The sequence below is a fragment of the Homo sapiens genome, chromosome 16 (genome assembly GCF_000001405.40).
Source record: "Homo sapiens chromosome 16, GRCh38.p14 Primary Assembly".
Lineage (NCBI taxonomy): Eukaryota > Metazoa > Chordata > Mammalia > Primates > Hominidae > Homo > Homo sapiens.
Genome location: NC_000016.10, coordinates 4,478,327 through 4,502,112, shown reverse-complemented (window position 1 = coordinate 4,502,112; position 23,786 = coordinate 4,478,327). Strand labels below are relative to the sequence as shown.

At 45.6% G+C, this 23,786-nt stretch overlaps 1 protein-coding gene and 1 long non-coding RNA gene across 12 annotated transcripts in view, besides 2 other annotated features; one reads left to right on the top strand and one right to left on the bottom strand.

The window, feature by feature from the left end:
* HMOX2 (heme oxygenase 2) overlaps window positions 1-23,786 on the bottom strand; it is a 35,612-nt gene that overhangs the window by 8,235 nt on the left and 3,591 nt on the right. Inside the window, exons 1-2 of one of the 11 annotated variants that reach the window (NM_001286270.2) lie at window positions 6,086-6,255; window positions 5,847-5,967 (exon numbers count right to left, since the gene is read on the bottom strand). The exons of 4 other annotated variants lie outside the window; for them this stretch is intronic. Coding sequence is in view for 1 of the 7 variants with exons in the window: in NM_001286267.2 (NP_001273196.1) it covers window positions 5,847-5,967 (121 nt within the window). In the remaining 6 variants the exon portion in view is untranslated. Of the gene's footprint in view, window positions 1-3,595; window positions 3,618-5,846; window positions 5,968-6,085; window positions 6,256-13,370; window positions 13,470-18,358; window positions 18,477-23,786 lie in introns of those variants that run through there. 6 more of the 11 variants (NM_001127204.2, XM_017023196.3, NM_001286269.2 and 3 more) reach the window with 6 other exon arrangements.
* Window positions 1,511-1,805: a silencer, noted in NCBI's record as "tiled region #9698; K562 Repressive non-DNase unmatched - State 19:H4K20". NCBI's record gives its function as "represses a minimal TATA promoter and a strong SV40 promoter by Sharpr-MPRA in K562 cells {active_cell/tissue: K562}" and the evidence as "EXISTENCE:reporter gene assay evidence [ECO:0000049][PMID:27701403]".
* Window positions 6,423-22,849, top strand: LOC124903636 (uncharacterized). Its single transcript, XR_007064964.1, has 3 exons — window positions 6,423-6,831; window positions 20,234-20,349; window positions 22,552-22,849. It is a non-coding gene; the product is annotated as an uncharacterized LOC124903636 (long non-coding RNA).
* Window positions 8,037-8,226: a silencer, noted in NCBI's record as "fragment chr16:4543888-4544077 (GRCh37/hg19 assembly coordinates)". NCBI's record gives its function as "represses an EF-1alpha promoter that drives an FKBP-Casp9 reporter gene in an ReSE screen in K562 erythroleukemia cells {active_cell/tissue: K562}" and the evidence as "EXISTENCE:reporter gene assay evidence [ECO:0000049][PMID:32094911]".

The window sequence follows — 23,786 nt, the reverse complement described above, 5'->3', positions numbered from 1 at the left end:
TCTCTACTAGAAATACAAAAATGAGCCAGGCATGGTGGTGGGCAATTTTTTGTAATCTGCTGTCCACGACTTCAAATTTTCTACACTCAAAATAGGTTCTACCGATTTTACTTTGAAGGAAAGCTAACAGGAAGAATACTGAGTTCTCAAGGCGGGCTGAAAGTACCAACTACCATCTGTACAGACCTGGGGGCTGGGGGCAGAGGAGGCTCCTGGGAAGGCTCGGTTAGCATATTCAACCCACAGACTGGGGCCAGGGGAGGCGACCCTGTGGCCTAGCCACTGTCCAAGGGAGTGGCCACACAGTGTGGCATTCAGAGGCCACCTTGCAACTGCAGAAACATAATTTTTTTTCACTTTCTGAAAAGCTACATGTCCAGACTTAGTCTGGCTGGTTTCTATACTTGAATGCTCTTTTCTTTGCAGGAACCATTGGAATCTCTAGAAAATTGAGGGCCAAATCATAAATATAGAACCTTTTTAGACTTCAATGTCTAATATCCACAAGAAGCTACATGTTCCCCACCCCCACAAAAGAGAAAAAAAGATCCTAAAATATTCCACTCTGGGAAATACACTTCAAGAAATAGTAATAGTAATTGTAATCTGTATCAAAATAATACCCAGCCATACTATGATGTTAGGAAAAAAACAACACACAGCCTAAGAACAAAGGGCATGACTGCTCAAACAACAGTCAACAATGGAATCCTGGCACAGCCGGGGCAAGTTGATAAGCTGTGTTCATGCATGGAAAAGCCTACAGAAACTTTTTATTTTTTTAAAAAGGATCCCAAACACCGACTATAACTGTGTGCAAAAGTATACTGATAATGACAAGTGGGAAATTTGGAGAGCTATAAATACTTGTTTTTTGTTGGACTTTTTAGCCAACTGGCTGCTTCTTTTATATGGAGTGACTCAATTCTCTTGGAAAGAAAAAGGGAAGAGGGAGGGGAAGGCAGCGAAGGGAAGGGAAAAAAGAAACCGAGAGACAGGAATTGGACCAAGCAAACCAGCTAAGATCCCGCACTGCATTAACTAACTAGTCAATGGAAGCTCCTGGGTCCTCTTTTCTGTTACAAATTCTAGAAAGGCCAGTCTACCCTCTCTCTTTCCCATTTCCAAAAAACTGGGACCCTCTGTTTATAAAATCTACCTCCACTACTCCATAATTCCAGTACTCCTAGCTGTTCACCTCATCAGCTGCTGATTCTCATTCCAACACCTGAGCTAACAGAAGCAGTAACAAAGTTCCTATCACAGTTACTTCAAGCAAAAGAGGTTCCTTTAGACCAGCTCAGCAGATCCAGAACACTGTCTCAAAGCTTTTGCTCCTGCTAAATTGCTGGCATGAGGCACTACCAGGACTTCTGAGACAACGAAGATGGTAAATCCTCCTCCATGGAGACTAAGTCCAACAAATTTCAGGTCAGGTAACTCAGTGCATTGCTACCAGGTGGGAATATAATCTAAGGACTATATTATAATTCATTTCCCATCTGGTCATACAGAAAGGAACAATAAAGACTTCTTTGCCCTGGAGAAACCTGAACTGAAGGAAGAGAGCAGGTTGCTGAGCTCAGCCAGCACCGAGAGTAAGCAACAGCAGACTGACTCACTCCCTGGAATGAGAACAATTCTGCAGGCTTCTGACTCAATGAAATAGTGACACTTGACAGTGACCAGCTACTACACTGCATGAGATGCCCACAACATGAACTCGGGTTGTTACCCCACAAACACAGGGAGGCTAAGTGGCTGCTCAGAGACTTCTGCACTGGGACTCCACGAGTGCTCCCTCCCTGCTGAACACCTTGCAGTTGGGCATCAGGATTCTTACCATCACCCTGGATGGGGGTCCCCTGCCTGCTTCCTAGAAGGCTGTTTGCAGCTCAGAGCTCACTCCGATATAAAATTGCCACCATATTAATATGAGGTGATTACGCTTCAGCTTCCACAACTGACTGTCATCCTGTCTTCCCAGTTAAACCAAAAGCTTCCTACAAGAGAGATCCAGATTCCCTCAGATTCAGATCAGGGTCCAATATGACTTATAGGCCAGCACCCTGGGGAGCATCCAACCTGAGTTACAGCTGTTGCAAATACACAGATGGAGTTCCTACTGAGAAAGCCAGTTAAATAGAGGATTTGTGTGCCTGTGCCTGTGTGTGTAACAAGAAAATAACAGCTAAATTCTAAAATACCAAGTAAAGTAATACAAATTTTTAATTGGGTCCCATGTCTCTAAATTAACTGTATGAAATCTGTTTTGACTTCTCTTCAGATCTGACTTGACTCCTAAGTTTTTAACTGACAATTATATTTATGGGGTACAGTGTGATGTTTGGACACATGTATACATTGGGGAATAATTAAATCAGGGTTATTAACATATCCATCAGCTCACATGCTTATCATTTCTTTGTGGTGACAACTTTTAAAATCCACTCTTTTACCAATTTTGAAGTATACAATACTATTATAATATTAACCATATTAACTATAGTCACCATGCTGTAAGGCAGATCATCAGACCTTATTTCTCCTAACTGAAATTTTGTACCCTTTGATCAACATCTCCCCTTTCCACACCCACCCTTCCCTTCCCCCAGCCGCTGGTAACCAACATGTTACACTCTCCTTCTATAACTGACTTTTTCAGATTTCACATATAAGTGATATCATGCACCATTTGTCTTTCTTTCTTTGGCTTACTTCACTTAGCATAATGTCCTCTAGATGCATCCATGTAGTCACAAATGACAGAATTTCCTTCTTGTTTATGGTTGAGTAGTATTCCATCGTGCATAAATACCAGCTTTTAAAAATCCATTAATCCACTGTGTGCTGCGAAGACTAAGTGGGCTAACACGCATGAATGTTTGACAAAATGCAGCACCACCTCAAATATTGAGCTCTTACTGAGGAAGTCGCTGGTGAGAATGAGCAATTGGGTGATTGTTAAACACTGAGGAAGAACAAGAAATCCAGCAATTTCAGATAGTTCTGGGCAGGTCACACCTGAGGACTTCTGACTCAGACCTCATTCTCCAGCAGCGTCAGGAAATAGGAATATCTGCCCTTTCTAAGGTGAGCCACGTGAGCACTGGAGGCTAGAATACCCACATTGCAGATGCCACTGGAGATTGGCTGAGCCACATGTTTGGGGCAGCAGACAGAGCTCAATCAGTTCTAATCCAACAAGGCACGAGATAACAGAGACTTCTCAACACCCTGAAGAAGCCACATCATCTAGAACTACAGCTTCTGAGTTTATAGAATAAATGGCCTGAGGTCTCCTCTGAACTCTGGTACTACCATTCCTCAGGAAATGTTATACATAAGCCCTTTCATTTCAATCGCTGGGGGAATTCAATCCCACGGTTCACTGAACGGAAGAATAAATATTAACCTCTTGATAAAAGAGCAAATCCAGGCTGGGTGCAGTGGCTCACACCTATAATCCTGACACTTTGGGAGGCCAAGGTGGGAGGATCACCTAAGCCTAGGAGCTCAAGACTAGCCTGGGCAACACAGTCAGACCTTGTCTCTACGAAAAATAAAATAATTAGCCAGGCGTGGTGACACACACCTGTAGTCCCAACCACTCGGGAAACTGGGGCAAGAGGATCTTTTGACCCCAGGAGTTCAAGGATGCAGTGAACTATGATCACACCGTTGCACTCCAGCCTGGCAAGGGAGTGAGATGCAAAAAAAAAAAAAGAGCAAGTTAAGACTGAATCCAGCCGGGTGTGGTGGCTCATGTCTGTAATCCCAGCACTTTGGGAGGCCGAGCGGGTAGATCACCTGAGGTCAGGCATTCAAGACCAGCCTGGCCAACATGGCAAAACCCCATCTCTACTAAAAATATAAAAAAATTAGCCAGGTGTGGTGGTGTGTGACTCTAATCCCAAATACTTGGGAGGCTGAGGCACGAGAATTTCTGGAACCTAGGAGGTGGAGGTTGCAGTGAGCCGACAGTGCCACTGCGCTCCAGCCTGCACAACAGAGCAAGACTGTGTCTCAAAAAAAAAAAAAAAAAAAAAAAGACAATGAATCCTGGAAAAGTGGGGACTCTGGGGACACAAAGCACTTGAGTCAGATTACTAAATAAGCACTTGCGCATTTGGGCAAGAAGGCAGGCAAAAGCAAAACAACTGCAAACTAATTTAAAGGCATTAACCTCTTAAGTAACCTCAAAAACTGACAAGAGACCGGTTGTGGTAGCTCAAGCCTGTAATCTCTGCACTTTGGAACTCTGAGGCAGAAGGATCACTTGTGGCCAGGAGTTCAACACCATCCTGGGCAACAAAGTGAGACCCCCTCCATCTCAAAAAATACATTGAATAAAAAAGACAACTGAATAGCAGTTCAAGAAGTCCAAGACTTTTCTTGCAGGCTTTTTTACTGGAGAAGAGAAGTGTGCTCATCTCTAGCCATGTTCAAATACAACTGAGCAAGCAGTGAAGACAGACACCAAGGACAGAACCTGAGACACTGAAATGAGTTCAAAGAAGGGGCCTGGAATCGACTATTGTTGGGACAATGATGAGTCCTGGTAGAGCCTTCCTATTATAACTGAAATAAGCACAAGACTCGCCCCTGTTCCCTGATTGCCACCTCGCTTTATATGAGGACAATGTGTCCCAGGGCTGAGAAGATGAGGATTCTTTAGTTCCATAAGCAGCACCAGGAGCGGGAGGGGTGAAGTCCTGAGTGAATTCTAAAATGGTTCTGGTGGGATTTTTACAGGGACAGAGGCTAGACTTCATGCATCCCACAGGGCTGGCTTTAACTAATGAAACCTTGGGTCATCCCTAGGTTACCATCAAGCAAAAATTATTCCAACACTGAACAACCTTGAAAGCAGGTGTCGTGTGGATAAGTGGAGTCAGTCATGTTTCCTTTCATACAGGCACAAAAATTGTCACCTGTAAGCTTCAGCTTCTATCATAAACAAGGACTGTGAATAGCATTTGGGGGTGGAGGGAAAAAAAGTAGGTGATTAAGATGCATATGCAGAACTGTCATTTTGGGAAACCTGAGAGTGCCATCAGCTCCCAGGTGCTTTCCTCTCTATAAACAGCCTGAAGCCTTAGAAGCCATTCCTGGAGGCTGGTACTGGTAGCTCACACCTATAATCTCTGTACTTTGGGAGGCCGAGGCTGAAGGATCACTTGAGTCCAGGAGTTTGAGACCAGCCTAGGAAACATAGTGAGACCCCCCGTCTCTACAAAAAAAAAAATAATAATAAAATAATTTTTTTTTAAAAGAAGCCATTCCTGCCTTGGCAGAAGGCCCTCAAGTTCACCCAAGAGAGCACCAGACTATAAGTCTGACAGACCTGGGTATACCAGGCTAAGTCACTTTCAAGCAATGTCTCACTGGCTCTGAAGAAACTAAGATCAAGAGAATTAACATGGGCAAGATCACTCAGAGAGCTAATGGTCAAGTTGAGACTAAACTTGAGTCATTCTGAATGCAAGGTGACTCCTCCTGTGTCCCTGGCTAATCCTCATTGGTTCCTGCATGTGAGATTAGTATAGTGTCACCACAGACTGCTAGCAACAAGGAAACTGAAGTTATGGGCTACAGAGGCACTCGTACCACACTGCATTTATGCATGCAGTAGAGAGGTTAAACTACAGCCTGTAATTTGTTGTTTTAGTATGAAAAGTGAGCAAGAGGCCAGGCATGGTGACTCACACCTATAATCCCAGCTCTTTGGGAGGCCGAGGCGGGCAGATCACTTGAGGTCAGGAGTTCGAGAGCAGCCTGGCCAACATGGTGAGACCCCAACTCTACTAAAAATAGAATTATTAGCCAGGCGTGGTGGCGCACACCTGTAATCCCAGCTACACAGGAGGCTGAGGCAGGAGAATCTCTTGAACCCAGGAGGTGGAGGCTGCAATGAGCTAGACTGATCCACTGCACTCCAGCCTGGGCAACAGAGCGAGACTCCATCTAAAAAAAAAAAAAAAAAGAAAGAAAAGTGAGCAAGATTCTATTATTTCTGAGAAATAAGTGCTCAGGCCCAGTTGAAGATTCCGAAGTTGATGCTGCTTGTCCCTAAAACACTCACCTTGGCTCACTCAAATTACACAACAACCTGAGAAGATTGTTCCCTGGTGAGATCTATTTTTGATGACTAACAGGGCAGGCCAAGGCTGGTTCCAGCAGGGGAGGATGGCATACCCCACCACTCAGTGCCTGAAAAGAGGCAATCAGACCTGCCAGACCTTAGTGGACAATGAAGCCAGGGGCTCCAGAGCATCCCTATACCAAAGGGAGGTCACAATAGGGTCTGCACATCTCTATAGCACCCACTGCCATAGTAACTGAAGAGAAATAGACTAAACTGTGTCAAGCATGTATTGAGTATTTAAAATCTAAGCAGTTCTATCTTTCTGCCTACTGAAATATATTGTGCCTCAGAAATGGTAGTGCAATGGATAGAAAGTATGTTAACATAAACTTCCTGTAAAATTAGTAACTCCATAGGACAAGCCTTTGGTCAATCGAACAAGGTGGCTCCAATTTCTCACTCTGGGCCTGCAAGGTATCTTTACACGTTTCCACAGGCCTATAGAGTAAGGTATTATTCCTAGGCTTCTTCACAATGACTGCCCAGATTCTGGTGGGGACTGAAATTGGGGAAAGGAACAAGCCCAGACCAAGAACCAGTAACTCCACATATGGTTGGCTCATCCTACATAGACTGTGCCTATGGTGGGACAGAACTAGCAGCAGCAGCTATTGGACTTGCTCAAAGAAGGATGGTCGGCTTTCCCAGCACTACCAGCAGGCCCTGCCTACACCCAAAGAGTGGTAAGGGGAATGGAATCTGCTTCCTTCTTATCCTCTGACTCACTATCTTAATGCACAAGGCACCAAGAGTGCCTAAAAAAAGGAGGTCCTCAACTGTTTTCCTCCCTTAGTATATAGGGCCTGATTTGCACATGAATGACAACGTCCCATAGGACTAGTCGGGCAGAGTGTCCAGAAAATATATTGCAGATGATGTGAAATTACTAGCAATTAGCTGTAAATGCAGCCCTCTCTTCTACTCTAAACAACTTCTCAGAATGAGAGCCAACTTACAGGGATAATGTTTAACCCAATCAAACCGAGACTGGTCTTGACCTCCTAGCCTCAACAATCCTCCCACTTTGGCCTCCCAAAGTGCTGTGATTACAGGTATGAACCACCATGCCTGGCCAAACTTTTTTTTTTTAGACAGTCTCACTTTTTCACGCAGGCTGGAGTGCAGTGGTGTGATCATAGCTCACTGCAGCCTGGATTTCCCAGGCTCAAGTGATCCTCCTGCTTCAGCCCCCAAAGCAGCTGGGACTACAGGCACACGCCACCACACCTGGCTAATTTTTGTATTTTTAGTAAAGACAGGGTTTCACCATGTTGTCCAGGCTGGTCTCAAACTCCTGGACTCAAGCGATCTGCCTGCCTCAGCCTCCCAAAATGCTGGGAATACAAGCATGAGCCACTGCACCCCACCCAAACTTATTTTTTTAAAGGCAAAGCATTCATCAACTTCATGGTTAGTAACAAATTGTTTGGAACACATCTCATAACCACACTTAAAGAGCAGAAAATCTAAGTGACACAGTGATTACTTAGCAAAATGTACACTAGCTTTCTAGGAAAGCTTTCTAGACACTCCAGCTCTTCAAAGAAACCTTTCAGGATTGGAGCGAAGAGAAAACAGATCACCATGCATTACCCTGCCCAGTCAATGTGTTAAATTTTCATAGCCTTGTTTTCTTTTTTTTTTTTTTTGTGGCAGAGTCTCACTCTGTCGCCCAGACTGGAGTGCAGTGGTGCTATCTCGGCTCACTGCAAGCTCCACCTCCCGGGTTCATGCCATTCTCCTGCCTCAGCCTCCTGAGTAGCTGAGACTACAGGCGCCCACCACCACGCCCCGCTAATTTTTTGTATTTTTAGTAGATACGGGGTTTCACCGTGTTAGCCAGGATGGTCTCGATCTCCTGACCTCGTGATCCACCCGCCTCGGCCTCCCAAAGTGCTGGGATTACAGGCGTGAGCCACAGTGCCGGCCCGACAGCCATGTTTTCTAGTTTCCTCACCAGTATGTAACTCCCCAGACACAGCCTCCCATCACAACTGTCACTTGGCTGTAACTCACTAACTGTATAAATGGCATATGTGACTATTAATTTAGATAAATATTTAAATATTTGTATTTCTGTATGTATTATATGATAAGAAGACTGAATCCCTCCATCTGAATGAAAGTTTGTAGAAATTGGGTTCAACAAGTGTAATAGCAGGCATATGCACAGAAGTCCTTTCTGCACAGCACAATACTAATGTGTTCAAAAGACACACGAGGAGCTGGGGCAGTGGACTGGATTTTACAATGATCTCTAGAGCCTGAGCCATAGTAGGCACCCAACAAATGTTAATTAAGATGAGCCTAGCCATGAGAGAATCTACTGGCCACACAGAGGCCAAGAGGCAGCACATAGATGTGGTTAAGGCACAGGCTGTAGAAAGGCACAACCAAGAGCAAACCCTGGTTCTGCCCATCCCAGTTGGGTGGACTTGGGCCAGCTACTTAATTTCTTGGAGTTTCTTTCTTCATCTGTAAAGGACAGTGATAACAATTCCACAAGGTGGGTATGAGAATTAAATGAGATAAATGAGTTATAAAACTGTGACATCATATGGTGCTGATTAATAAACTAAAGAATATGTCACTTGCAATTTAAAATTAATGGCTGAGCCCAGTGGCTCATGTCTGTAATCCCAGCACTTTGAGAAGCCAAGGCAGGAGGATTGCTTGAGCCTAGGAGTTTGAGACTGACCTGGGCAACACAGGGAGACCCCATCTCTACAAAAAAAAATTTTTTTGAATTAGCTGGTAGGCAGACGGGGGTGGAGGGAGTGGCATGCAGTTGTGGTCACATCCACTTAGGAGGCTTAGGTGGGAAGATCACTTGAGCCTAGGAGGTAAAGGCGGCAGTGAGCTATGACTGAACTACTGAATTCCAGCTTCCAGCCTGGGCCACAGAGCGAGACTCTGTCTCAAAAAAAGAGGAAAAAGAAGAGAAAAGAAAAAAATATAAACTTAACAAATGTCCCCTAATATTTCCTTTTTCTCCCCACTCCTGGGTTCAAGCAATTCCTGTGCCTCAGCCTTCTGAGTAGCTGGGGCTACAGGCATGTGCCAACACACCCAATTAATTTTTGTATTTTTAGTAGAGCCAGGGTATTCCCATGTTGCCCAGGCTGGTCTCAAACTGCTGACCTCAAGTGATCCGCCCGCCTCGGCCTCCCAAAGTGTTGGAATTACAAGGTGAGCCACTGTGCCCAGCCTTTTTTGTGTTTTTTGTTGTTGTTGTTGTTTTGTTTTTGAGACAGAGTCTCACTCTGTCGCCAGGCTGGAGTGCAGTGGCGTGATCTTGGATCACCGCAATCTCTGCCTCCTGGGTTCAAGGGATTTTCCTGCCTCAGACTCCCGAGTAGTAGGGATTACAGGCACGTGCCACCACATCCAGCTAATTTTTTGTATTTTTAGTAGAGATGGGGTTTCAGCATGTTCGCCAGGATGGTCTCGATCTCTTGACCTCGTGATCTGCCCACCTCGGCCTCCCAAAGTGCTGGGATTATAGCTGTGAGCCACCACACCCAGCCTGTATCTAGTGCTATTAGAATGAAAATGGAGATTCTTCATGACGAACCTCAACTCAAAGTCTGTGACCCTCAGTGTAAACCATTTATTTATTTATTTAATTTTTTTTTTTTAGAGACAGGGTTTTACTGTGTCTGGAGTGCAGTGGTGAGATATTAGCTCACTGCAGTCTCTACCTCCTGGGATCAGGCGATCCTCCCAATTCATCCTTCCAAGTAGCTAGGACTACATGTGCGCACCACTATGCTAATTTTAAAAAGTATTTTGTAGACATAGGGTCTCACTATATTGCCCAGGCTGGTCTCGAACTCCTAGCCTCAAGGAATCCTATCACCCTCCCATTGTTGGGATTACAGTCAGGAGGCACCACACCTGGCCCCTAGTGTAGTTTTGATGCTGCCTGTATGGCTTTTCATGGAGACAGTGATATTTCCATTTTTTGTTTGAAAGTATATGGGGGTTAGGCACAGTGGCTCACACCTGTAATCTCAGTACTTTGGGAGGCCAAGGCAGGTGAATCACAAGGTCAGGAGCTCGAGACCAGCCTGGCAAATATGGTAAAACCCTGCGTCTACTAAAAATACAAAAACTAGCCAGATGTGATGGCATGCGCCTATAGTCCTAGCTTCTCAGAACCTGGGAGGTGGAGGTTGCAGTGAGCCGAGATCATGCCACAGCACTCCAGCCTGAGTGACAGAGTGAGATTCCATCTCAAAAAAAGAAAGAAAATAAACAAAAAGAAAAGAGAGAAAAATCTTGGGATTTCTAGCAAAATATATATATTTTTTGAGACAGAGTCTCACTTTGTCACCCAGGCTGGAGCGCAGTGGCATAATCTCGGCCCACTGCAGCCTTGACCTCCTGAGCTCAAGTGATCCTCCCACCTCAGCCCCCCAAGTACCTGGGACTACAGGCATGCAACACCATGCCCAGCTAATTTTTTGGTATTTTTTGTAGAGATGGGGTTTCACCATGTTGCCCAGGCGAGTGTTGAACTCCTGAACTCAAGTGATCCAGCCGCCTTGGCCTCCCAAAGTGCCAGGATTACAGGAGTGGGCCATAGTGCCCGGCCTAGCAAAATAAATTCTGCAAAAGACCTAAGGGAAGATATTGTATTGTTTTAGTTTAACTCCTTCAAGGAGATCCTGAACATGACTTAGGTGAAGGGCCCTCCAGTAACCGAGAATCAGGATGGAAGACAGGACACACTTTTGTTTCTTTAGAGCGACTTATAAAAAGTAAAGGTTTAATTAGGTAACTGAAAATTTACTTTGTCCTGTGACAAATCTGATTTGCATTTTTATCACATGACAACCAATCTCCAATCCAGTGTTTCTCCACTGGGGGCCAACTTGTCCCCCAAGGAACATGTTTGGAGACGTGGAAATGTTTGCAGACATATTTAGTTGTCACAACTGAAAGACGGGAGTGTGCTACTGACAATAGTGGGTAGAGGTCAGGGATACTACTCAATGTCCTATAGCGCACAAATGTGCTTGCACGCACGCACACACACACACACATACCCCACCACCACAAACAATCTAGCCCAAAATGTCAACAGCACTAACGCTGAGAAACCCTGCCGGACCACAAAAGCAGTGTGCATTCAAAAGAGGACATGAGTCTAATACCCCTCTCATCCCTTCATCAATTTACAGAGACGAGATTGTTAGTCACCTTTATCAAATATCCCTTATATAGATTTCTGAGGAAACTGAATTTCCACCAAAAAAACAGAAGAAGCTATTAGAGGCAGCTTGGCACTGCCCACAAATGACAATGAAAAGGGTTACAGTATGTTCCTGGGAATAGACCTTTTTTGTATGTATTTGGATGCCTGGAAGCTAAACATTTAAAACAAACCCAGTAACAAATCCAGGCAGGCTGAAGCCCCTGACAGAAATGTGTTTATTACTTCTTTGTGGGATGGAACATATAACTGGGAGAAATTTGATTTTCGTTTATCAGTCTGGTACCTGACTGCTAAGAAAGCTAAGAATCAGAAGAACTAACTTCTACTACCAGGTCTGCTACTAGCTAGCTGTAGGACTTCCTTGGAGCTCCAAGGAGTCATTTCTCAGTGAACTGCAGGGAGGATGGCTTTGAACAGGAGGCAAAGCAGGAAAGGCTGTGGGCCTCCCATACCCTGCTTCAGTCAGAACAGCTCCCCTCTTCCTTGCTATATTTCCTCCAAGAAAAAGCTTGTGCTGTTTCTAAAAATAAGATCCAAAAAACAACATAAGTGATAATATTGTAGGCCTGATATTATATTCAGAGCTACCTAAGTAAGCCTTTTGTGATCCATCCTAGCACTCATATCTCGTTATGGTATGTGTATGTTTATATGTTTGTTTTCCAGATTACAGGTCATTTATCTTGGCCTCCTACTGCCCAATTACACACCAGTCAGGGTTTGTTGACTGAATGAATGATTTCCAGAATACAAGGTATTCTCAAAATTGAGGCATTCTCAAAGTGCTGATGACAGAGGGCAATTAAAGGTGAATCTCAGATATAAGAATAATGGGCTGGGCGCGGTGGCTCACGCCTGTAATCCCAACACTTTGGGAGGCTGAGGCAGGAGGATCACTGAGGCCAGGAGTTTCAGACCAGCCTGGGTAACATATGGAGATCTCTGTTGCTACCTCCCCCCAAAAATTATAAAATTAGCTGGATGAGGCTCGGCGCAATGGCTCACACCTGTAATCCCAGCGCCTTGGGAGGCCAAGGCAGGTGGATAGCTTGAGTACAGGAGTTCCAGACCAGCCTGGGCAACATGGTGAAACCCCATCTCTACAAAAAATACAAAACTTAGCCAAGCATGGTGGCACATGCCTGTAGTCCCAGCTACCTGGGAGGCTGAGGTAGGAGTATCACTTGACCCTGGGGGTGGCGGCTGCAGTGAGCCAAGACCGTGCCACTGCACTCCAGCCTATGTGACACAGCAGGACTCTGTTTCAAAAAATTTTTAAAAATAAAATAAAACTAGCTGGATGTGGTGGTGAGTGCTTGTGGTCCCAGCTACTCGCGAGGCTGAGGCGGATCACTTGAGCCCATGACTGTGCCACTGCAAAAGGAAGAAAGGAAGAAAGTAAGGGAGGAAGGGAGAGAGGGAGGGAGGATGATGGCTGCCTAGTGACTAAACACTTGGTGAAAGATAAGAATGGCCTTGTGGGGGGAATAAGCATTTGATGCTTTGTGCTCGAGTAACTCACTGTTTCATGTGTGAAGGGAAAATGCTGCATTACATTGGTCTTAAACTGGCTTCCTTACATTCCACAGATATGACTACTAAGAGCGTACCTTTTAGATTTTGTTTTATGGTCTCTGAAAGCCTGATTGGTAGCATAACACTGTGTTACTTGCCCCCTCCTTATATAAAGAAATGTATACCAGCCTGGGCAACAAGGCAAAAACCCTGTCTCTACAAAAAAACTACAAAAATTAGCTGGGCGTGGTGGCACATGCCTGTCATCCCAGCTACTCAGGAGTCCTAGGCAGGAGGATTGCTTGAGCCCACAATGGTGGAGGTTGTACTGAGCCAAAAACACACCACTGCACTCCAGCCTGGGTGACAGAGTGAGATCCTGTCTCAAAAAAAAAAAAAAAAAGAAATGTACAGGCACATTTTTAACAGTCATGGTAGCAAATGCTTGCCAGCCTTCTCCACTCAACGCATACACAAACCACTGACTCCTTGATGTCTACATCTGTGAAAAAATATCCAATGTCCCCCAAGTTGTCCTTAGAGTCTGGGTTTCATAGCAGCAGCAAGGTCTCTTCATGTTGTTCTCTAGGGAAGGGGTCAGCCACAAAAAGGCAATAGTTATACAACTTTGTAACAAACCCACATCCTGTATCTATGTACATTTTAGAGGAAACACCAAGGCCTTAGGTTATCATTATTGCAAAGGAAAATGCTACAGTTATCATAATTTACTGAAAAAAAAATAAAAAATCCCAGCAGTTTGCTGTAAAACTGTGTAACTTCCTGTCACAATCTTCTCCAATGGGGCAGCACCCACAACTATACACATTAAAGTGAAGTTTAATGTCCAAGAGTTTAATTCCTTTAATTCCCAAGAGTTCCCAGAACTGGTCAAACATCATTATCTCCATTAATCATTATTCAGAGGAAATTCAAATAGCCCAGAACATCAACTACTGACTGAGGACATGATTAGGCAACAATGAATGAATAGCTTTAGAAAAAAGCAGACATAATGGAAAAGGCAACTGTCCAACAGCTCAGGCATTCTCCAGGGCTGTGAGAGGTATACTCAAGCCTGTTTTTTTTTTTTTTTTTTTTGAGATGGAGTTTCCCTCTCGTTGCAGCGAAACAATGGAGTGCAATGGCACGGTCTGAGCTCACTGCAACCTCTGCCTCCCGGGTTCAAGTGATTCTCCTGCCTCAGCCTCCTGAGTAGCTAGGATTACAGGCATGCAAAACCACACCCGGCTACATTTTTTTTTTTTTTTTTTTTTGAGACAGAGTTTCGCTCTTGTTGCCAAGGCTGGCATGCAATGGCGTGATCTCCCCTCGCCGCAACCTCCGCCTCCCGGGTTCAAGCAGTTCTCCTGCCTCTGCCTCCCGAGTAGCTGGGATTACAGGCATATGCCACCGCGCCCGGCTAATTTTTTTTTTTTTTGAGACGGAGTCTCGCTCTGTCTCCCAGGCTGGTGTTCTCAGCTCACTGCAACCTCCGCCTCCCGGGTTCACGCCATTCTCCCACCTCAGCCTCCCAAGGAGCTGGGACTACAGGCGCCAGCCACCACGCCCAGCTAATTTTTTGTATTTTTAGTGGAGACGGGGTTTCGCCATTCACAGGATGGTCTCGATCTCCTGACCTTGTGATCCACCCGCCTCGGCCTCCCAACGTGCTGGGATTACAGGTGTGAGCCACTGCGCCCAGCAATTTTATATTTTTAGTAGACATGGGGTTTCTCCATGTTGGTCAGGCTGGTCTCAAACTCCCAACCTCAGGTGATCCGCCCGCCTCGGCCTCCCAAAGTGCCGGGATTACAGGTATGAGCCGCTGGGCTACGCCTGGCTAATTTTGTAGTTTTAGAGGTCAGGCTGGTCTCAAACTCCTGATCTCAGGTGATCCGCCCACCTAGGCTTCCCAAAGTGCTGGGATTACAGGCCTGAGCCACTGTGCCCAACTTCTTTTTTTTTTTTGAGACAGGGTCTTGCTGTGTTGCTCAAGCTGAAGTGCACTGGGTCAATCAGAGCTCACTGCAGCCTCAACTCCTGGGCTCAGGTGATACTTCCAACTTAGCCTCTCGAGCAGCTGAGACTACAGGCATTCACTACCATGTCTAGCTAATTTTAAAAATTTTTTTGTAGAGACAGGGTCTCACTATGTTGCCCAGGTTGGTCTCGAACTCCTGGGCTCAAGCAATCTTTCTTTGGCCTCCCAAAGTACTGGGATTACAGGCGTGGGCCACCACGCCCAGCCTCAAGCCCTTTTTCAAACAAAACCCTACACAAATGGCCAATACAAAAAGGAAATAAGTGAGCTTCCATACTTAAAATGAGGAGGGAAAGAGAAAGGGGGCCAAAAGGGACTGAGCTCAGCTCCTCATTCCCCTCAGGACCTTGAGCTTGGCCTAGTTTGCTCAGCTGTGGTCTAGGAGACATAAGATATTCAATTAAACATTTGCTGGCTACCATTTCCCACTACCTGTGCTAAGTGACCAGTGGCTCTGGGCACGGTCTCTTATCTTAGGCCTGTATGTCCAAATCAACAGTGGGAAGCTGGGCCTGGATTAGCCACTGTTCCCAGACCTGACCTGCCCAGAGTTTTCTGGCAGCTAGGCCAGAGCTCCCTCTACTCTTTCACATATCATTTCCAGTTGCCCACTAGTTCCTTGAAAAGTTCGTGACCTTCCAAAAAACCATGTAGTTTCTGTGTCTTCAACTCACCTCATCCCCAGCATTGGTACTGAGCTCTAACCCTGTATTAGGGACAGACATACTCTAATCAGCTGTCCTTGACAGACCTTGAGCTTCAAACACTTCTGCCTCACCCACACTAGCCAGTTAAGTTGCTGTGGCCTCAGCAGTCCTCTCCTAGGAACCAGATTAGACCACTGCCTACACATGGGGACACGCTGTCCTTTGGACAAGTACTCAGGCAAGTCCCTTGACAGTTGGTGTTTGGTAAAAGGCTGTTTGTTTACAAAGGAATGTCCTAGGGTTTCTGTCTTTAATCTACTCAAATACTTCCTTTTTTGAACACAATTTGTGTTTGAAGACACAAATTAAGAGATGTGTACTTTTGAAGATGGGAAGAAAGGGTACTTGTCAGAACAATCCTTATCCTTTTTTGGTTGCAAATCCCTTTCAGAATCAGAGCAAGGCTTCAGATTCTCTCTCCAGGACAATCGTATGGTTTAAAAATGTTGCCTGTGGCCAGGCATGGTGGCTCAAGCCTGTAATCCCAGCACTTTGGGAGGCTGAGGTGGGTGGATCACCTGAGGTCAGGAGTTCGAGACCAGCCTGGCCAACATGGTGAAACCTTGTCTCTACTAAAAATGCAAAAATTAGCCGGGCGTGGTGGCAGGTGCCTTAATCCCAGCTACCTGGGAGGCAGAGGTAGGAGAATTGTTTGAACCCGGGAGGCAGAGGTTGCAGTGAGCCGAGATCAAGCCATTGCACTCAAGCCTGGGGGACAAGAGCGAGACTTCTCTCAAAAACAAAAACAAAAATAAAAACAAAAACAAAAACAAAAAAATCAATCCCTGTTCTAAAAGGAGTCTATCAGTGACATTCTCTTTTTATGGGTAAAGTTTTCAGTAAGACCCTGAGTGCTCTAAGAAGGGTTTCTTCTTTCTTTGGCCTCCTTCCTTCTCTTCCCTTCCTCCTCTGTCCTAATGGGTTCAGTACAAGTTCTCCCATTTTCTCCATTTCTCCACTCTTTAACTTCCCTGGCCTCTCAAAACTCTCATAAACCTTACAAAGTGATTTTACTGTTTTGTGTCTTCCCACAGTTACTACCAGCTCCTAGTAAACAAAGACTATGCTTGGTTTGTTGTTGTATTTGCACATCCCCTCAGTGCCAATACTCTGCATACCTTAGAAGCTCAATACAGTACAGTCAGCCCTCCATATCCATGGGCTCTGCATCAGTGGATTCAACCAACCTCAGATTAAAAATATTCAGAAAAAGGCCTGACATGGTGGCTCACCCCTGTAATCATAGCACTTTGGGACGTGGAGGTGGGTGAATCACTTAAGGTCAGGAGTTCGAGATCAGCCTGGCCAACATGGTGAAACCCGGAATCTGCTAAAAATATAAAAATTAGCCGGGGGTTGTGGCAGGCACCTGTAATCCCAGCTACTCGGGAGGCTAAGGCAAGAGAATCGCTTGAACCCAGGAGGTGGAGGTTGCAGTGAGCCAAGACTGCGCCACTGCACTCCAGCCTCGGTGACAGAGTGAGATGCCGTCTCAATCAACCAATCAATCTTCAGGGAAAAAAAAAACAACAGATGGCTACATATGTACTACACATGTACAGATTTTTTTTCTTGTCATGATTACCTAAACGATACAGTATAACAACTATTTACATAGCACTGTATTGGGTATTATAAATACAGATGATTTAAAGAATACAGAAGATATGCATAGGTTATATGCAAATTCTATACACCATTTTATATAAGAAACTTAAGCTGGGCACAGTGGCTCATGCCTGTAATACCAGCACTTTGGGAGCCCGCGGCAGGCGGCTCACCTGAAGTCAGGAGTTCGAGACCAGCCTGGCCAATATGGTGAAACCTCACCTCTACTAAAAATACAAAAATCAGCCAGGCGTGGTGGTGCACACCTGTAATCCCAGCTACTCGGGAGGCTGAGGCAGGAGAATCATTTGAACCCGGGAGGTGGAGATTGCAGTGAGCCGAAATCGTACCACTGCACTCCAGCCTGGGTGACAGTGCAAGACTCCGTCTCAAAAAAAAAAAAAAAAAAGAAAAGAAAAGAAACTTGAGCATCCTGGATCTTGGTACCCTTGAGGGGTCCTGGAACTAATCTCCACAGATACTGAGGGATAACTATATATACTTCTCAAATGGCCTCATACTACTGTTTCTTGATCCTTCTACCTTTAGGCATTTGGACTTGAATGTGGTGCCTCCTTTAAAATTTGGGCATATGAGGCCGGGTGCAGTGGCTCACGCCTGTAATCCCAGCACTTTGGGAGGCCAAGGTGGGTGGATCATGAGGTCAGGAGATTGAGACCATCTTGGCTAACACGGTGAAACCCCGTCTCTACTAAAAATACAAAAAATTAGCCGGGCATGGTGGCGGGAGCCTGTAGTCCCAGCTACTCGGGAGGCTGAGGCAGGAGAATGGCGTGAACCTGGGAGGCGGAGCCTGCAGTGAGCCGAGATCGCACCACTGCACTCCAGCCTGGGCGACAGAGCAAGACTCCGTCTCAAAAAAAAAAAAAAAAAAATTTTTGGGCATATGCACGGGTGTGATACTGTAATTTAGAAGAAGATACAGAGATAAATTTGAGGCTGGATGCAGCGGCTCATGCCTGTAATCCCAGCACTTCAGGAGGCTGAGGTGGGCAGATCACTTGAGGTCAGGAGTTCAAGACCAGCCTGGTTAATATGGTGAAACCCCGTCTCTACTAAAAATACAAAAATTAACCAGGTATAGTGGCGCACACCTGTAGTCCCACCTACTCGGGAGGCTGAGGCAGGAGAATCGCTTGAATCCGGGAAGCGGAGGTTGCAGTGAGCCGAGATAGCGCCATTGCACTCCAGCCTGGGTGTCGCAGCAAGACTCTGTCTCAAAACACAAACAAACAAAAAGATTTATAGATATATTTGATCTGCACCCTAGGTTCCTGGCACAGAGCTCCTAAAACCTTTGTAGATGGGGGCACTAGGAGAATCCTTCATTCTGATATTGGTCTTTAACCTCAGTTCCTGACACAGAGCTCCTAAAACTTTTGTAATTTCCTAAATCCCTTGGAATTTCCTGGGTAATAGGAGCATCTTTTGTTGTAAGTAAGTAACTCTTGGTGGGCTCCTAGATGGGGGCTGATTGCCTGGGGAACCAACCATGTGATTAGAGGGTGGGAACTTTCAGCCCTACCCCCTTAACCTCAGGGGACGGGAGAAGGTCTAAAGGTTGAGTTGATCACCAGTGGCCAATAACGTATTCAATTATGCCTTTGTAATGAAGCCTCCATAAACACACACACACACACACACACACACACACACACACACACACACACACACACACACACACACACCAGGGTTTGCATTAGCTTCAGGATAGCTGAATACACGAAAGTTCCAGAGAGGGCGTAGAAGCTTCATGCCTCTTCCTACATGCCTCACCCTATACATCTCTTCCATCTGGCTATTCATCTGTATCCTTTTTTTTTCTTCCAGTCTGTCGCCCAGGCTGGATGGAGTGCGGTGGCGTGATCTCATTTCACTGCAACATCTGCCCCCAGGGTCCAAGCGATTTTCCTGCCTCAGCCTCCCTAGTGGCTGGGACTACAGGCATGCACGACCACACCCGGCTAATTTTTTTGTATTTTTACTAGAAATGGGGTTTCACCACATTGGTCAGGCTGGTCTCAAACTCCTGACCTCAGGTGATCTGCCCTCCTTGGCCTCCCAAAGTGCTGGGATTACAGGCATGAACCAGCACGCCCAGCCATCTGTATCCTTCTTAATATCCTTTAGAGTAAATTGGTAAATGTAAGTAAAGTGTTTTCCTGAGTTCTGTGACCCACTCTAGCAGATTAATCAAACTCGAGGAGGGATTGTCAGAACTTTCGATTTATAGCTAGTAGGTCAGAAGTATAGGTGACAATTTACTACTTGTGACTAGTGCCTCAAGTTGGGACAGTTTTGTGGGACTGAGCCCTCAATTGGTGGGATCTGACGCTATCTCCAGATAGAGTATCAGAATTTAACTGACTTAGAGGACACCGCACCGGTGTGTCTACTAGAGAATTGCTTGGTGTATGGGGAAACAACTCCCATATATCTGGTATCAGAAGTGTTGTGTTGAGTGACTGTGGGAACAGAGTAGAAAAAAGACTTTGGGTTTTTTTGCCTTTCTCAAATAACCAGAAGAGCCACAAGCAAAGACAGAAAAGCATAACCTACAGCAGCTAGTTTCTCAGAACAGCATATTTTTCCCCTTCTGGGTCCACTTGCCTTTTTATAAACACAAAAAGTCTTACAGAGCAGGACAAATATGACACTGAACACAGACATTTGAAAATTTTGCTGAGATTGACAAATTCTCAAGTATATGGTAGAGGAATGGAGTTTTTTAAGTTATTTTCTAATTACTGGGATACCTGCTATTACCAAGCCAACCGAAGGCCTGACTTTCCCTCTGCCTTCCTACATAAAAAGAAGAGAGTAAAGGTTTAATGTCTTCTAGGTAGAAGTTAGATGACCACCCAGGCCACACTTCACCAAGTTTGCTTTTTCATCTGCCGTCAAACACTACTATCCACACTCAGCTTTGCTCATTTATTCCTTCCCTTCTCCCTCCTGCCCTCCTCCAGACTGCCACAGAGATAGTTCAAGGTGACAATGGCTCCTCTGCAGCAGCACATAGCAGTCTTGCCAGACACAACAGCAGATCAAGTAACTACTGAAGATGATGGCTACACTTGGACAGGTGACATTACATTATCATCAACAAACATTTATCACCCTCTTGAGTACTGTGACTACAAAGAAAGATAAGATCTTGCTCTGCACGTCAAGTACCTTTCAATCTAGAGAGAGAGTTAGGTGGAAAAATAAAAAGATAACATAAGGTGTACCATTCTATAAATATTAATTGTGCAATACAGACAACTGTGCTAAAGATAGAGCTTTATGTACCCGACTTTCCAGAACAATTCTGATTTCAAATACCCTGTTCCACCCAATTCTTTCAGTACACCTGTATGCTCAATGACAGGTGTTTCGCATAAAAATTATGATCATCACAGCTACTTATGAGGCCAGCCAGTCAACTAGATTAACTAAAATCAGGATGGCATTATAATGCCAGATTGTTTTATTTTTTTCTTTTTTTTTTTTTTTTTGAGACGGAGTCTCGCTCTGTCTCCCAGGCTGGAGCGCAGTGGCGCGATCTCTGCTTACTGCAAGCTCCGCCTCCCGGGTTCCCGCCATTCTCCTGCCTCAGCCTCCCGAGTAGCCGGGACTACAGGCGCCCGCCACCATGCCCGGCTAATTTTTTTTGTATTTTTTAGTAGAGACGGGGTTTCACCGTGTTAGCCAGCATGGTCTCGATCTCCTGACCTCGTGATCCGCCCGCCTCCGCCTCCCAAAGTGCTGGGATTACAGGTGCGAGCCACCGCGCCCGGACCAGATTGTTTTAATCACACTAGTACCTTCTTGCAGCCTCAGCACAGTGCTTTAATAGTAGGCCCTCTATCTCAGACATGAAAACATGAGCAAAAGCAAAAATACGAGGCCTGGCCGGGCGCGGTGGCTCACGCCTGTAATCCCAATGCTTTGGGAGGCCGAGGTAGGTGGATCACCTGACATCAGAAGTTTGAGACCAGCCTGACTAACATGGTGAAACCCCGTCTCTACTAAAAATACAAAAAATTAGCCAGGCGTGGTGGCAGACGCCTATAATCCCAGCTTCTCCAGAGGCTGAGGCAGGAGAATCGCTTAAACCTGGGAGGTGGAAGTTGCAGTGAACCAAGGTCACACCACTGCACTCCAGCCTGGGTGACAAGAGTGAAACTCTGTCTCAAAAAAAAAAAAAAAAAATAGTAGGCCCTTAGCCGGGCACGGTCGCTCCACCTCTAATTCTAATTGGGAGGCCAAAGTGGGTGGACCACTTGAGGTCAGGAGTTTGAGACCAGCCTGGCCAGCATGGTGAAACCCCGTCTCTACTAAAAATACAAAAATTAACTGGGTGTGGTGGCACACACCTGTAATCCCAGCTACTAGGGAGGCTGAGGAAGGAGAATCACTTGAACCCAGGAGGCAGAGGTTGCAGTGAGCCGAGACGGCGCCACTGCACTCCAGCCCTGGTGACAGAGCAAGACTCTAAGGAAAAAAAAAAAAAAAAGGCCGGGTGCTGTGGCTCACGCCTGTAATACTAGCACTTTGGGAGGCCAAGGAGGGTGGTTCGCTTGAGGTCAGGAGCTGGAGACCAGCGTGGCCAACATGGCGAAACCCCATCTCTACCAAAAGTACAAAAATTAGCCAGGCATGGTGGTGCATGCCTGTAGTCCCAGTTACTTGGAAGGCTGAGGCAGGAGAACTGCTTGAACCCCAGAGGCAGAGATTGCAGTGAGCTCAGATCAGATCACTGTACTCCAGCCTGGGTGAAAGAGCCAGACTCTGTTTCAAAAAAATAAAAAATAAAAAATAAAAAAGCCGGGCGCAGCGACTCATGCCTATAACCCCAGCACTTTGGGAGGCCAAGGTGGACGGATCACCTGAGGTCAGGAGTAGGAGACCAGCCCGGCCAACATAGTGAAACCTCATCTCTACTAAAAATACAAAAATTAGCCAGGCATGGTGGCATACGCCTGTAATCCCAGCTACTCAGGAGACTGAGGCTGGAGAATCGCTTGAACCCAGGAGGCGGAGGTTGCAGTGAGCTGAGATTGTGCCACCACACTCCAGCCTGGGTGACAGAGCAAGACTGTCTCAAAAAAAAAAAAAAAAAAAAAAAAAAAAAAAATAGAATAAGAAAAAGGCAGGCTGGGTACAAGATACTAGTCTGTTATGCCATTCTTCCCCACAGCCTTTTTAAAGTTACTGAGAACTATGACAGTAATTAGGCCTATAATACTCCTGGGAAGGAAACGAATCTATCTGTGAAACAAAAATTAATTTTTTCCCTAAGCTGAGTGAAGAGAATATCCACTTTGTTGGCTTCTGACATACACACTGACAGCACAGTTCACCAGACAACAATCACTCTTCTGGCGTCCCTTTCCCCAGGTATTCTATTCGCTTACTGCTCTATCTTCCCTGCCAGTCCACTCCCTCCTCTTTCCAGCCTGTGCCTTAGACAAGGACCCCAAACAAGGATCACCTGGGAAACTCCAAAAAACAGATTCCTAGTCATAATCCCAATTTTACCAAAAAAGAAGCGTTTGGAAACCCCTTAGATCGACAAGCAGCATCCAAAGACACCAAAAACTTAGGCTCATCAAGTATTAACTTCCTGCCTCAGCCTCCCAAGTAGCTGAGATTACAGGTATGTGCTAGCATCCTACTTATTGTTCACTCTGATAGAATTTTTTTTTCTTTGAGATGAAGTTTTGCTCTTGTCGCCCAGGCTGGAGTGCAATGGCATGATCTTGGCTCACTGAAACCTCTGCCTCCCAGGTTCAAGCAATTCTCCTTGCTCAGCCTCCCGAGTAGCTGGGATTACAGGCTACTTTTTGCAAGGCTAATTTTTGTATTTTTAGTAGAGACGGGGTTTCACAATGTTAGCCAGGCTGGTCTCGAACTCCTGACCTCAGGTGATCCACCCGCCTTGGTCTCCCAAAGTGCTGGGATTACAGGCGTGAGCCACCGCACCCAGTCTAGGTCAAGTTTTTCATCTCTTTCCTTTCCAAGGAGTTAAAGCTGAATTTCAAATTTTACAGTGAAATACACAATTCTAATTTTCTTTCTTTCTTTTTTTTTTTTTTGAGATGCAGTTTTGCTCCTGTTGCCCAGGCTGGAATGCAGTGGCACAATCTTGGCTCATCGCAACCTCTGCCTCCCAGGTTCAAGTGATTCTCCTGCCTCGGCCTCCCAAGTAGCTCGGATTACAGGCACACACCACCATGCCCAGCTAATTTTTGTATTATTATTATTTTTTTCTTAGTAGAGATGGGGTTTTTCCATGTTGGTCAGGCTGGTCTCTATCTCCCGACCTCAGGTGATCCGCCCATCTCGGCCTCCCAAAGTGCTGGGATCACAAGCATGAGCCACTGCACCGGGCCCACAATTCTAATTTTCAAATATATCTTCCTCCTGGAGGAGTGATATTCCAGTTTTGGGTGCAATCCTGATGTAGAGCCCAACTGTCCTGTGAAGAGAGTCAGCTGTTAAAAGGAAACCAAAAAATCAAGGTAGCTCTAGCTG